Below are 14,174 nucleotides of genomic sequence, written 5' to 3'. Positions count from 1 at the left end.
GTAGGTATCACCCACTCTCTCTCTCTCATTTGAGCAGGAGCTTTTTAGTCCTGAGTCTGACAAAACAGACGGAGTCAGATACACAAAGCCGGAGCCCCGGGACTTAAGGTGCCTCTTGGCCGCAGGGCAGCCATTCGGGGGTCTTACCCACACGTGCCCCTAATCTCAGTGATAATGCAAGTCCTGAGAGATTTGTGGGGAAGGAAAGGGCCCAAAGTGGCTTGGCTGGAGGGTGGCACGGTGGGGGGCTGCAGCAGTGGTGTGGGGTAGGTTTCTCGGGGGACCACCCCATCTCCTGGCATCCAGCTGAAGACATGGTGTCAGGGCTCTTTGGGGCCAGCAGGTCCCCTGCAGTGCCTTTGAGGCACTGGCCAGTCCTGCTTGCTTTCCTGTAAGAACGGGAGGCTCACGGCCCCCCAACCACCCGGTCCTCTTCAGAACAGGTTATGTTTGGAGGGTTTTCCTTTCATTCCTGAAATGCAGGTCCTGGCAATTCCCTCCTGTGCGGCCCAAACCTGGCTGAGCCTCCAACTCCCCTGGGGCGCGTATTAAAACCTGAGATGTCCCCCACACCCACCCCCAATCCTGAAGCCTAAGGCTGCAGCCAGCCTGTCATCCTCTTCAGCAGGCCGTGGACCTGGGATTGTTGTGGGGGTGGTTTGGGGAACAGGCCCCACCCTGTACGGTTGCCTCTCTGTGCTGGACCTGGGGGCACTTTGCTGCCTGGGTCCAAAGGTCCTGCCAAGAACCTGGGCCTCCCTGCAAGAAGTGCCAACCAGCTCAGCACCTGGCTCCATCCCTGGGGGCCAGGAATGCGGGAGAAACCCCCCAGGAGGCTGTGCTGGGGGTGGGGGAGGCCTACACTCCCCAGACAAACTGTAGGCAACCCGGCCTCCCACGCCCTCTCACAGAGGCTCCGTCACAGCCGTAGGGTTGGTGCGGGTGGTTTCTGAGCTGGGCACTCCCAGTGGCATTACCTGTGTCGTCCCACCTCACCCTCCCAACAGCAGTCGGGGATGGAGCTGTTATCATGTACGCATGGAGGTGGAAACTGAGGCACAGAGAGGATGAGTAGCACATGTGGTAACTGGCGGAGCCCATGGGTCTAACCCAATACCCAGGGACTCCAAGGCCCTGCCCCAGGAGAGCAGTGGTGTTAATCCAGTGGTTCCCAAAGGCCTGTGACCGGGAACCCTTTCTGGGCAACACCTGTGTTAGCTCCAGGGGCTGAGGAACACAGTTTGAGAACACAGCCCTTCTTCCCTAGCTTCGAGGGCTCCACAGGTGTCCCCAGATTTGTGGCGCTGCCACACGTGGGGAGGGTGAGGTAAAGCCGGGAGCAGGACTTCCTGGGGAAGGGTGGGTTCACTGGGGTTGGCAAGGGCTGTTGTGCTTGGAGAATCATCCTCCTTGTACTCACATGGATCCATGGAGTGATTGGCTGATTGATTTACTGTTTATCGACTCACTCTTCATTCCTGTTTACGGGGCCTCCTGGTGCCAGACAAGTGCCCTCTGGGGATCTGGAGGTGTGGAGGGCAAGAGCTGCCAGTCTGGGCTCAGCCAAGCGAGGCGTGGGAAGGGGTCACCTGTGCAGGTGAGAAAGGCCAGCAGAGGCGTGGGAAACCAGTGCAGCATAGACCTGAAGTCTAAGCCACACTGGGCCTGGGGGGTGTCAGGCGTGGAGGGCAGAGGGTGGGGCTGCACTGAGGCTGGAGTCTGAGGGGGGCAACGGGGAGATGGGGGGACACAGGGCCTTCCTGAGTGGGGCGCAGAAGTGGACCTGCCCTCCTGTCTACCTCAGGCGGGCGGCGTGCCAGGCCTTCCCCATTGCCTCCTAGTCCTCCTTATCCGTGGAAGCGTCCTCTGTGGAAATCTGGTTCCCCACAGAGCCTCCCCAGCCCCACCCAGGCTAGGCCCTGACTCAGCCACGTAGATTCCTCACTCCTCCATGAGGCAGGAATACACCAGCCCCAGAGCATAGCAGGCCCTCAGTCAATATCTCCTGGCTGGCTGGCTGGCTGACTGTGTTCCAGAAAGAGCCCTCGACAGCCCCAGAGAATGGGTCTCAGGTGAGGGAGTGGGCACCCCTCCTGGGCACCCACTGTGCGCTGGGTCTCAGGGAGAAGTTGGAAGAACAGCCTGGGTCCTTTCCTGGGTGGTCACACTGTGTGCCACACCTTAGAGTGGTCTCTCTTGGGCTGCTCCTGCCCTGGCAGGACAGGAGGTGAGGATGGAGGAGGAGGGTGGGGCAGAGAGCACCTGTGGGGCCCACGTCACCCCACTCAGGGCCACCGGCCACTGAGAATTAACTTTGCTTCTTTGGAATATAAGGAAAAACCCGTTAACTGTATCCAGACATGAAATCAGATCTCAGGCAGAAGTAATGAGTTCTTGTTTTATGTTAAATTTAGCAGAGACTGCTATTGTTCTCATGGAAATTTTGTTCCTTCCTGTCCCCCTCCCTTTGGGATGTGAGAGAGGCAGATGAGGCTCCAGAGCTGTGAGTGTAATGGGTACATCTAGGGGATGGGGGGCGTCTGGGGTGGTGGCATAAGCTCATGTCCCCAAACACCCGGACAGTCCCACTTTTACCCCGGAGCCACTTGGTTGCTGGAGCCTCTTCCAGGATAACCCATAGCTCCTGCTGACACATACTTCTCCATGTAGAGACCCCTCGGAGTCTACGTTCAGCTCTGGTTCAGCTCTGGGTCCCCTTGTGGTGACTCAGGTGTCAGTAGACCTCTGGGGCCTGTGGGTGGGGACAGAGGGCCCTTCTTCCTGCAGCGGAATCATTTTGGTTGGGATGGTGCCGGAGGGAACAGTCTCCATCCTGCCGGGTCACCGCCTCCGAGCCAGGGCACCCCAAGAACAGAGCTGACCCTCGGGGGCAAGGCCCGGGGAGGGGTGGGCTGAGCCTCGGGGGCAAGGTCCGGGGAGGGGGTGGGCTGAGCCTCGGGGGCAAGGCCCGGGGAGGGGGTGGGCCGCTGAGACCACGTGTGCCCCGGACACCTGGCCCCTGGCCCGATGGGGTGCCAAGCCGAGAGTCAGCAGCAAGAGATGACCGTAAAAGTTAAATCTTTCTATTTATTTCAAGAAAGAACAAGGCAAGTGGACTTGGACATTTTCTATGAAAATAGACAAACAGAAAATAGGACCAAGTAGTTAATCACATTCATCTCAACATTGAAGTTTCAAGGCACCTACAAGAAGGAGGCCAAAGGGCGGTTCGCAGTGCACTTTGGTTTGTGTTGTTGTCGTGGTGGTGGGTGTTTGCGTGTCTCGGTTTTCTGGAAACCCTTGCCTGGTGGTGAGGTTGGGAGCGAAGCAGGTGGGCACGAGGCCAGGCTGGTCTGGGCCCTGAGAAGCCGGGCCGGGTCAGCCATCTGGTCGCATGGCAGCAGGCGGTAGCGGGGACGGTCAGGCCCGTCACTCAGGCCCCTGAGACGGCTTCCAAGAAAAAGAAAGGAGATAGTGCTGCACCTGGGCGGCTGATTCTGGAGGTGAGGAAGGCTGGGGGGCGTGGGAAGTGGGGGTACTGGCACAGGGGCCCCTTGGACATCAGGCAGGACCTCGGTCACAGGCTTGGGAGAGATCAGGCCTGCTCCCTCTGACCCGGGCGGTTAGCTGGCGGGCTTCCTGCCTTCTATAGAGCAGAAGGACCCACCCCTTGGCCGCCAGGGGCTGGCCAAGGACCCCTCCCTGGTCTCCTCCTCCTCTTCAGACCACCGGGAAGGGGATGACGTTGTGTGCCACTCCAGAATGCTTTACGACACCACATAAGATACAAATAACCTGTTAACATCCGGAAAGGGAATTACTGTTGGTGGCTCTTAAGACATTCCTCTGCCGTGTTTATAGGGGGTACGGGCTCTTTCAGATAACTTTCATCTTTGGCCTCCCTGTTCACACTTACCTCCTGGCTCCAGCCAGCAGAATCCCACAAGCACCTCTCTCTCTGGCTAGCCTATTTCGACGCCACACACCACTCCACCCTCCGTCACCTCTCTCCCCACTTCTCTCACTCTTGGATGACAAGCCCTGAGCGCTGGGCCGTGTGGCTTCCTCCCCATGGCTCTTGGCCTCTCCTTATGAGCTGGAAGGCACCAGGCAGGGTCCTCGGAACCCCCTGGCGGCTCACTTTGGGTACCCAGGTGGGCTGCTGGCGGTGTGGGGTGTGGAGGTGCGTTGTGTTGGGGAAAAACAGCCTAAGGCTAGTTTTGGGGTTTTGTGGGGGTGTCTTCTCACCTGCGTACTCAGAACTTTTGAAAATGGGACTAGCCCGAGGACAGGTGGGCTCAGAACATTGCAAGCCTGCGTTCCACACAAGAAAGGTGAGAGAGGCCTGGAGCCGCCTGGCTCCAGGGAGATGAACTGGTGGCGGCCCCGCATCCGCCATGGCTTTGATTGTCGGTTTGTGGTGCGTTTGTTTTTTCCCGTCTACAGAGGAAGCCCGATGAGTTCCTCCAGGTGGGTGGCTCCAGATGCAGGGATTCTGCGGGGGCAGCAGGCAAGGCAGCAGGTGTCGCCTGGGATCTGGATTTCTTGCAGCGCCTCTGTGGGGCCCTCCCCCAGTTCTCTCCCCCTTGTCATCCACTCAAGGCAAGTCTTGGAGAAGGGAAACTGAGTTACTGACACAGGTTGGGGCAGCCACCGGATCTCTCAGAGTGGCTACATTTCTCCATCTGGCTCACAGCTGGCAACACGTGGATCCAAGGCAGGGTGGAGCGAGGTGCTTCCAAGAGGTAAAGCTGCTGAGATGAGCCCCTCTCTGTGCCAGCTGCTGGCGGGGCAGGAGCAGGACGAGAGAAGCCTGTTTGTTGCCAACACTCGTGCCTGGGCCATCCTCAATGAGTGGGCAGATGGCAACTGGGGAGGAAGTGAGAGGAGGAGGCGGCCTCGTTCCGTTGGTGGCAGAGAAAGGATTGAGTACCCCTGTGTGCCAGGCACTGTGCTGGGCCCCAGTGACCCTGGGAAGGGCAAGGTGCTGACTCTGACTATCTACCTTGATGAGATTTAGGGCTGTGGCAGCAAAGACCTTCCTTTGAGGACTCTCTGGTCTTAGGCTTTGGGCTTTCAGGTGTGGGGAGGCAGGGGGGCCAGGGCACTGTGCCCACTCAGATGGCCACAGTGCTTTGGGGGCTGGCTTTGTTAGGACGTGGGGGCAGTCATCCCACCCACAGGTTGCCCTATGCCCTCAGCACACCCTCACTCTCTCCTGGCACAGGCCGGGCATTTCAGTGACAAGGGGCGGGAGGGGACAGTGACAGTGGTCTCAAAGAGCCAGGCCCTGGCCAGGGTCTCCAGCAGGTACCAGAAGCAGGAGCTGTCCCAGGCAGGGGTCTCCGGGGGAGACGTGGAGAAAAGACGAGGCTTTGGCCGGGCACGGTGGCTCATGCCTGTAATCCCAGCACTTTGGGAGGCCAAGGTGGGCGGATCACCTGAGGCTGGGAGTTCAATACCAGTCTGAGCAACATGGAGAAACCCTGTCTCTACTTAAAATGCAAAATTAGCCAGGCATGGTGGCACACGCCTGTAATCCCAGCTACTCAGGAGGCTGAGGCAGGAGAATCACTTGAACCCGGGAGGCAGGGGTTGCGGTGAGCCGAGATTGCACCATTGCACTCCAGCCTGGGCAACAAGAGCAAAACTCTGTCTAAAAAAAAAAAGAAAAAGACCAGGCTTTGCTCTGTGGCTTTGGGGGTCTCCAGGCACACCCGCAAATCTGTTATGGTGAGAAAGGGGGCCTGACCCCCACTTTTGGAATTTCCAAAACCAGGGAAAACCCACAGATTAAAAATGCCGAGGGAGGGGGAAGAGCAAAGGGAGGGGATGGAGAGCAAAAAGAATCTTTCTGTGAGTTTTTTAAAAAGAAGCAAATATGGGTATTTCAGGCACCTACTTGGAACATTTCAAAAGAAACAGTAAATGCTTAAAACCACAGAGTGAAAAGTGCCCCAGGCGCCATCCACCGGCGGTGATGGATGGATGGATAGATACAGTGGCAGCAGCAGCAGCATGAGCGTGTTGGACTGCACGTGGGGCAGCCCTGGCTTAAGAGACAGGTCCAGGACGCAGCCTGGGCTTCGGAGCTGCAGGGCCTGGGAGGCGCTCTCTGTCAGCCCCTCTGGCGAGCCATAGGTGCTGAGTTTAGACTCTGGAAAGGGGGTGGCATGTATCTGTACTTTCTTGGTGCCTCTTGGACACTGAGGATGGGTATTTTGCAGCCTCTCTGCTGGCACAAGTGGCTCTTTGGTGGGGCAGGATGGTCTGGCTTCAGGACTGCCCTGACTTGGGGTTTTCAGGGGACACCAGTGACTTTAAACAACATGGTGAACTTCTCTTGATATCTGCTCCCTTTCAGTGTCCTGGGGGATGAGAAAGCAAGGGTGGGAACCAGGATCTTCTAGTCAAAGCACCAGACCTTGGGAGGAAAATATCTGCCACGTCCCCATCTAGTGCTTGAATGCTCCCAGTGACGGAGAGCTCACTGCCTGTTTCCTTTGCTGGGCTAGAGTTTCTCTTCCCTGACCTTCAGTTTTCCCTTTACCCACTCCCCTTTTACTGGCCACAAGGAGTGGATTGGAGACAGACCCACCCAGAACAGAAAGGAAGCAGAAAAGCCCACGGCTCTAGAGTCCTACTTTCTAAGGACTGGATGGGCCACTTGTCCCAGAGGCCTGAGTCCCTTTCCCTAGGGCAGTGCTGGAGCCTCAAGCCTGAGTGCTCTGGTCCATTTGGTGTTGTCTTCAGAGACCCTGGCTCCCCAGGGAGCCAAGCCAGGGCAGGTGCCCCCATCTTGCACCCCCAACCCCCCCACCCCACCCATCGAGGCCCAGAAAGTCCCTGCTATGCAGATAGCCACTTGGGGCAGGTTCATAAACCACGAAAAATCCCCCTTTCCCTGCACCTCCAAGGAGTTTAATCTCTCCTAATCAATTTAGCAGACTTGCTTGGTTGTAAACGGTAACGATTTGCATTTTTGAGCCTTTTTATCCCTCCTTAAGAAAAAAAAATGCCTCCTCTCTGCACTCGGAAGGCCAATGCACGGCTGCGAATCGCCTGTGAGTGCTTGCCCTGGCGCCCATCCAGGGGCAGGCAGCAGCCACCGTCACCTGTGCCAATCGAGTATGAGGAGGCACGCGGACGCCCGTCACTGACCCTGGCTGCGTCCTGGCCCTGAGAGCAGGGTCTGGCCCTTGGGGGCACAGGTCCCTGCGCCCGGCCCCTCCTGCCAGCACTGCCCCTGCTCTCCCCGTTGCCCTCCCCGCCCCTTTGCTCCCTCTTTGCTGCATCCAGTTCTCCTTGTTGTATTTTTCATAAGTGCAAGGCTCAGAAGCCCCAGCCTCCTCTCTGGCACGTTCAGCAGGAAGCAGGTTTCTGAAGTGGGCTGGCTTTGGGACTTGAGCTGCCATTTTCAAGGGGGAGGGTCTGCTCTTTCTCCTCCTCTCCTGGCTCCTTGGCTCCAGGGCCGGAGGTGAAGGAGGGAGGCACAGGTTCCGAGGCAGCCTTGGGTCCCAGCCTGTCCTCTGCTCAGGCCCTGACCAGCCCCTCCAACCCTTCAGGGATCCCTCACCTGACTTGGGCCAGCTAGAACCTTTCAGCACCAGCAGCGGGGAAGGGCCCCCACTTGGCCTCTGGAGCACCAGTTTCCTGAGTGACGCTGGACCCCTCCCTAGCACACCCCCACTTTACAGAAGGGGAAACAGAGGCTGTATTCTCACCAAACCCTCTTTCCCTGCACCGCTCTGGAAACATCTCCCCGACCCCCTCCTCAGCTCTCTGCCTGGCTTTGTTCGGACAGGGCTGGGCTGGGCTCAGAGGGAGGGTTTCCCAGATCCCCAGGGGAAGGAGGAGACCCGGTGCCTGTGTAGAGGGAGGGAGAAGAGGCACACGGCAGGTGTGGGCTTTGGGCTTTGGGAGAGTCAGGTTGGGCCCCTCCTAGCTGCTGCCATCTTCCCAGGTGCTGTCCCCTCCCCTGCCAGCGTCACCCAGAGCCAGGAAGGTGCAATGCCCCTGCTCTTGGCTCCGGACCTGCATCCTGGCCCTGTGTCAGGGAGGCCCCTGGCCGCCGCATGCACCATGTTAGCGTGGAGCAAGCCCCAGCCTATTTAGAGAAGATGGAGGCTGTGGCGGGAGGCCGTGGGGAGGGGGAAGGAGAAAAGGGAAGAAAAGGAGCTTTTGATGCACATCATGTCTGTGGAATTGAGTATGACTAATTAATAGATTTTATTTTTAGTAATCTCTTAAGCATTCCATACATTGGGCCCCACGCCTGAGCTGAGCTTACAAGAGGCCTCATTCGCAAAATGCAAATGATTCCCGGCCTGCTGGTGCCTTCTCTCTCTCCTTCCTTGCCTTTTCTTTCCTTTCCTTTTTTTTTTTTAGGGGAGATTTAAAGGAAAATTGCCATGTAATAGAAAAGAGATTCCAATCACTACATCTAATTACCACGAAGGGTAAACCACTTAACCAAAGAAGCGTCATGGGCTTTTTTTATCTTTAACTTTAAACCTGCCTTAAATGCCACAAAACGTACTCATCAGTGCTGGGGCCGCTGAGGTTATTCTGGCTACTTAGAGGCTGTGAGGGTCAGCCCAGCCGCGGACGTTCCCTTGGAAATGTCAGCTGTGCACGGGAGCCCGGGAGAATTTAGACAGGCTGGGGTTGGCATCCCAGGCCTTGTGTCCTCACGCATGTCTGAGGTGTAGGGGAGGCTGGGTGTCCTGAAACATCTCCTATCTTGTGGTATGAGACCAGCTGGGAGGAGCTGGGCCAAGAGGGGATGGGGTTTCAGAACGGACCTAGCTTCTGGCCCCTCCCTGGCTGAGGGGCTGTGACACAGCAGATATTTGGGGGCTTCCTCTGGGAAAGCCCAGAAAGGACCCTGGGAAGGTGTCAGGATAGCTAAGGGGCAGAAAAGATGAGAAAGTCAGCTCTAGAGCTGGGTCCCAGGGCCCTGACTGGGTGGAGCATCTACCTTCCTCCACACTTAGAGCGCCAGTGGGTGGGTGATCCCCACGATGAGGCAGGCAGGGTCTGGTAAGAGGGGCCGAGCCCCGCCCTCGCCCAGTTAGTGCAAGAACCAGGAACAGGAGACTCGCGTGGTCCTGGGGCCCAAGGAGCTCCTCTGGGGCAGCTGCCAGGGCTCCTGCCTGCCTGGGCCTGCTCTGTGCAATGGGAGGGGAGGAAAGCTCATCACTCAGGCCTTGTCTCGGAGGGCGTGGCTGGGCACAGGCTGGCTCCCAGCTCTGCCTGCTCTCTAGCACTAAGTCTCCCGCACTCCTGCCCCAGCCAAGCAGGACCTTCCCAGGCAGCTCTCACGGTCCGGGCCACCTGCTGTCCCCAGATGCCTTCCTAGCCACTAAGGGCATGACCTGACCTGTCTAGGGTGGGGAGAGGAGACAGGGGGACCTAGGTGAGGTGGGGACAGTGTGCTGGCAGCACCGTGTTGCAGATGGGCGGGACTTGGGGGAAGGCAGTGATCAGAGTGGTGCCCTTCAGGGAGGGGTGGTCTCATTTTAGAATCAGCAGAGACCTGGGACTTCTGTCCCCTGTGCCAACGTGGCACACCTCGGGCACGCTCTCCTCCCAGACATCCCAGGTGGGCCCTTCTGCTCATCTCGGGGCTGGGGGGCCATGGTCCACTGGGAGGGCCTACTTTTTTTTTTTTGAGATGGAGTCTCACTCTTTGCCCAGGCTGGAATGCAGTGGCGCAATCTCGGTTCACTGCAGCCTCTGCCTCCCTGGTTCAAGCGATTCTCCTGCCTCAGCCTCCCGAGTAGCCAGGTAACAGGCGCCTGCCACCATGCCTGGCTAATTTTTGCATTTTTAGAGAGACGGACTTTCACCATGTTGGCCAGGCTGGTCTCAAACTCCTGACCTCAGAAAATCTGCCTGCCTCAGTCTCCCAAAGTGCTGGGATTACAGGCGTGAGCCACTGCACCCGGCCTGGGGCTGCCTTTTATACAGACCTGACATTAAGGCCTGGGGAAATTTCTCTCTTGACCTTATTGTGTGAGAAAATGATTCAGGCAGGAAAAGGAAAAACACGTCTAGTTTCGAGTGAAACGTGACCACGCTGCTCGGCTGTTCCCCAGGGCTGGGGAGTGGACCTATTTCGTGGGCTAGCCCCCCCAGGCCGTGCTGGGAGCCTGTGCCCATTTTTCCACTTTCCACGTGGCTGTTGTGTCCGCTCCTTTCAGCCCCATCTCCTCACTGAAGGTGGCGGTCGGGCCTTTTAACGTAACCCCTGCCCCGCTGCTGCTTCTGCCTTTGCTTTTCGCACGGTGGTGGAGGCCGTTTGAAAATAGCACCACCAGGCGCTCCCAGCCCTCTCATCCTCCTGCCCTCGGACCAGCATCTCCTCTTTGACGTTCCTTTTCCTTGGCGCAGAACAAGCGGCACAGTGACAGATGGTGACCCGGGCTCCCTGAGTACTGGGACGCAGGCACGTCGGAACCCCAGGCTCCGCTCTTCCTCCCTCTCCAATTCGCTGTCATTATTTCATCATCGTTTTAATCTCATGGCTCACCACACTGCACTGTCAGTTGATAAATGCATGATAGCGACATGGATTCCAGAGGGAGGAAATAAAATCTTAACTCTTCTGAGGGTCCCAGTCAGGGCCCTTTCGGAGGCTGGCATTTTTAGAAAGAGATCTGGTCTCTCCCTCTCAAGAAACAGAGTCCCAGGGGTGGGCCCAGCTGAGTTTTCTACATTCAGGGAGGGACTGCCATCACCCAGGGCTTTTTCGAGAATTTTTGTGTCTTTTTCTGGGCTTTGTTTGAGCAGCCATGGAAACCAATAGGTCTAATCAGCTGATATTTAAAAAAAAAATCCCTGCGCTAATTACCCGTCCTAGGAGGGAACATTCAGCACATGGTAAATGCTCAGAAAGTAGCTGTTAAGGTGATTGCACGTGGTGGGGGAGGGAGACGAGGACACTGGAATCAAATAAAGCTTTTATCTGTATCAGAAAGGAGAGCAGCCCAGTGCTGGCCAAGCTGAGCCAGGATGGGACTGGCAGCCCCAGCTGCGACGCCTCCCTAAGCCACCCGTCTGAGACATACACACCTCAGCCTTTAGGAACAGCAGCAGCCCCTGGAGACCAAGTCTCCTCCCCCACCTCACTCCCATCCCCAACACACGGTCTACTTACTCAAGGATTTCTAGGAGAAAGCAACACTTTCACAATTCTATTGTTCAGGAAATGGTAAGAACTGACCCAAGAAGAACGGTAAGGACCGTGCATGTGGCTCTATCTACCCATCTGTACTTAGAGACACCGCGACAGGGATAGACAGGCAGACAGATGCACCTCCAGGTGGCAGGGAAAGCTACGGCTTCCGCCGGGGCTTCTACGGAGCGTGGTGCATGGAACTGAAGAGGGCTTCAGCCTAGGAAAAAAAAGTTTGTTTTTTTTTTTTAATCGACTACATGATTGTTCAAAGAATGCAGTGAAAGATGCCATGTTTCTGCAAATCTGCAAGGGAAATGGTATGGAATAAGCCAGGGGAGAGATTTCAGGACCATATCTCCAGGGCAAAAGATCTTTTCTTCCCTCTCTCCTTTGTGAGGAGCCTGAAAACCTTCCATCGGGTCGCCAGCGAGTGGCCAGTGGCGGGAGAGCTGCGTGGGAGCTTTGAGAGCCGGCTGCTTCTCCCTGGCGGTTCCTTTGTGATGGCCTTGAACAGAGCATGAGGTGTCCACAGATGTTGTACAGGTAGTATCCTTCCAGTTCAGGGGGGAAAAAAAAAAAACCCAACCCAGCCCTGCCTGCAATATTATTTTTAGTCCTTCCCTCCCCAACTGGCATAACTTGGTATAAATTATGTCTTCAACAATGTCGAATTCCCCCTCCTGCCTTCTATTCTTTTAAAAAAAATTGTCACTGTTGTGTTCTACAAAATCGTCAGCCCTCCCCAAACTTTGCTTTCTGCGGAGGAAAGTCACCCATGGAATTTCTCTTCCTTGCTCTCTTGGATTGCAGCAGGCTGGGCAAAGCCACATGGCCACGCCAGGGCAGCTGGGGCTGAGGCGGGGCAGCCCGGGTGGGCGGGCATCATGTGTAGGAGTAGTCTATGTCGGGGATGCCGCCGTCCCGGTAGCCCCGCGTGGTGCCGTAGCCAATGGTGTGTGTGGCCTTGCAGAGGCTGCTGCCGTTGGAGGGGAAGATAGTGTGGACCACGTACTCTTCTTTGGCGCGGTACGGGTTGATGGGCAGCATCTGCAGCCCAGGGCCGCGGATTTCCAGGATGGAGTTATCCTTCTTGGTCCCTGACTCCATATAGTCATCCTTTTTCCTGCTGCCCCGGTTGTAGGCCCTCTCCCGGGTCAGCAGCTCGCCAGCCTGGTGCACGTACCAGCAGATGGCCCCCAGGACCAGGAAGAGGAAGACCAGAGCCACTGCCCCGCCGATGATGCCCGCCAGGGGCAGGCTCGCCATGGGGCCAGCGTTCTGCTCCTGGTTGAGTGTGGTGGTAGGGCCATAGCTGTCGGCTGTCTCTGCCTTGGCACACACGGGTGTCTCATCAGCTACGTAGGCATTGCTGGTCTCCATGGTGACCATGCAGATGATGTAGGTGGACTTGGGCTCCAGGGCTGTCAGCAGGTACTCTGTCTTGTCCCCCTGCACCAAGGTCTCCGTGATGGAGCCCACGGCTGGGCTGTGGCCCAGGCGCAGCCAACTGAGCCGGAAAGAGGAGGCGGGGAGCGTGGCCTTCCACGTGATGCGGATGGAGTCTGCCGTCAGGGCCTTCACGTGGATGGCCAGGGTCTTGGCGCCATCACCCGTGGCCATGGGGTAGTCAATGTTGGAGTCGGGGAGGCGCAGCCCTGGCCTTTTGGCCTTGAGGGTAAACAGGGAACCCTGGGGCGTGGTGGCAGAGGCGTGGTTGCTGGCCGTGGTCTTGGCAGCCGCATTGGCCACGCCGCCCTGCGGCCCCGTCTCAAAACACTCGTCCATCTCGCTGGTAATGTCCTTGATGGCCATGCCCCGGACCTTCTCAGGGCCCTGGCACATGAGGCCCCGCACGTTGACCACGGCCGCCCGTGCCTTCACCCAGTCCCGCAGCCACATGAGGTTGCAGCCACAAAACCAAGGGTTGTTCCTGAGCAGCAGCTGGGCCAGGTTCCCCAGGTCGTCGAACAGGCCGCGGGGCAGCGTGGTCAGGTTGTTGTTGGACAGGTCCAGCCGCTCCAGCTCACGCATCTTGGCCAGCGTGTTGTAGGGGATGTGGCTGATGGCATTGTCCTGCAGGTAGAGCTTCTGCAGGTGGGCGCTGGGCAGGTTGAGGGGTGGCGCGGCCAGCGAATTGCGCACCAGCGAGAGCTCTGTGAGGTTCTGTAGGCGGCTGAAGGTGTCGTCGGCGATGCGCTGGTTGGCCAGCAGGTTACCGTCCAGCACCAGGCGCCGCAGGCTGTTGAGGCCCTTGAAGGCATGCAGCGGGATGGTGGAGATGCGGTTGTCATCCAGCCGCAGCTCCTCCAGCGTGTGCGGCAGCCCCGAGGGGATGCTGCTCAGGTGGTTCCGGCTCAGGAAGAGCAGCTTGAGCTGTTTGCTGTCGGCGAAGGCGTCCTCCTCAATGCTGACGGTGGACACGGAGTTGTCATCCAGGTGCAGCTTCTCCAGCAGCGGGATGCGGGCCAGCGAGTCCCTGGCAATGGTGCGCACATTGTTGTCCTGCAGGTGCAGCTCCCGGAGGGAGCGGGGCAGGTTGATGGGGAACTCATCCAGGTCATTCTCGTATAGGTAGATGACCTGCACGTTGACCTTGGTCTTGAGGTCCTGGGGGATGCCGGCGTTGTTGATCTGGTTGTTCTGCAGGTAGAGGGTGGTGGCATCATCAGGGATATCTGCGGGGATGGATGTGAGTCCCCGGTCGTTGCAGTAGATGAAGCCGTTGTCGCAGCGGCACACCGAGGGGCAGGTGGTGCTGTCGATGACCTCCGTCAGGAAGGCGATGAGCCCGTAGCAGAGGAACAGCCAGTCCCGCAGGTCCATGGTGGCCGTGGTCATCACAACGGTGGCCGTGACAGTGGCAGTGGGCGTGGTGGTGGCAGTGGCGGTGGGGTGTGCCACCACCATGGTGGATGGCTGGGGGCGTCCGGCCCCACCTGGCCTGGAGCCTGAATACCTGCAAGGAGCACAGGACAGGGGCAGTGAGAGGGAG

The 14,174-nt window shown here is 57.8% G+C and overlaps 2 protein-coding genes across 12 annotated transcripts in view, besides 2 other annotated features; one reads left to right on the top strand and one right to left on the bottom strand.

Annotated features, from left to right (window-relative positions):
- The window catches only part of MACROD1 (mono-ADP ribosylhydrolase 1), a 167,556-nt gene that overhangs the window by 35,757 nt on the left and 117,625 nt on the right, over positions 1-14,174 (top strand). The window contains exon 4 of one of the 5 annotated variants that reach the window (XM_006718522.3): positions 11,580-11,853. The exons of the other annotated variants lie outside the window; for them this stretch is intronic. Within the exon in view, the coding sequence (XP_006718585.1) occupies positions 11,580-11,587 (8 nt within the window). The 3' untranslated portion in view covers positions 11,588-11,853. Of the gene's footprint in view, positions 1-11,579; positions 11,854-14,174 lie in introns of those variants that run through there. 5 annotated transcript variants of the gene reach the window in all.
- Positions 287-880: an enhancer, noted in NCBI's record as "H3K4me1 hESC enhancer chr11:63896949-63897542 (GRCh37/hg19 assembly coordinates)". NCBI's record gives its function as "activates a minimal SCP1, AML or CMV promoter by ChIP-STARR-seq in primed H9 embryonic stem cells {active_cell/tissue: H9 hESC(primed)}" and the evidence as "EXISTENCE:reporter gene assay evidence [ECO:0000049][PMID:30033119]".
- Positions 7,539-8,470: an enhancer, noted in NCBI's record as "H3K27ac-H3K4me1 hESC enhancer chr11:63889359-63890290 (GRCh37/hg19 assembly coordinates)". NCBI's record gives its function as "activates a minimal SCP1, AML or CMV promoter by ChIP-STARR-seq in primed H9 embryonic stem cells {active_cell/tissue: H9 hESC(primed)}" and the evidence as "EXISTENCE:reporter gene assay evidence [ECO:0000049][PMID:30033119]".
- The window catches only part of FLRT1 (fibronectin leucine rich transmembrane protein 1), an 83,241-nt gene continuing 80,252 nt past the window's right edge, over positions 11,186-14,174 (bottom strand). For all 7 annotated transcript variants that reach the window (XM_047426696.1, NM_013280.5, NM_001423967.1 and 4 more), the window contains one exon: positions 11,186-14,138. In XM_047426696.1, the coding sequence (XP_047282652.1) occupies positions 12,065-14,089 (2,025 nt within the window). In that variant the 5' untranslated portion in view covers positions 14,090-14,138 and the 3' untranslated portion in view covers positions 11,186-12,064. The remainder of the gene's footprint in view (positions 14,139-14,174) is intronic.

The sequence above is a fragment of the Homo sapiens genome, chromosome 11 (assembly GCF_000001405.40).
Source record: "Homo sapiens chromosome 11, GRCh38.p14 Primary Assembly".
Lineage (NCBI taxonomy): Eukaryota > Metazoa > Chordata > Mammalia > Primates > Hominidae > Homo > Homo sapiens.
The sequence above is the reverse complement of the archived record's forward strand: the minus strand, read 5'-3'. Positions and strand labels throughout refer to the sequence as shown.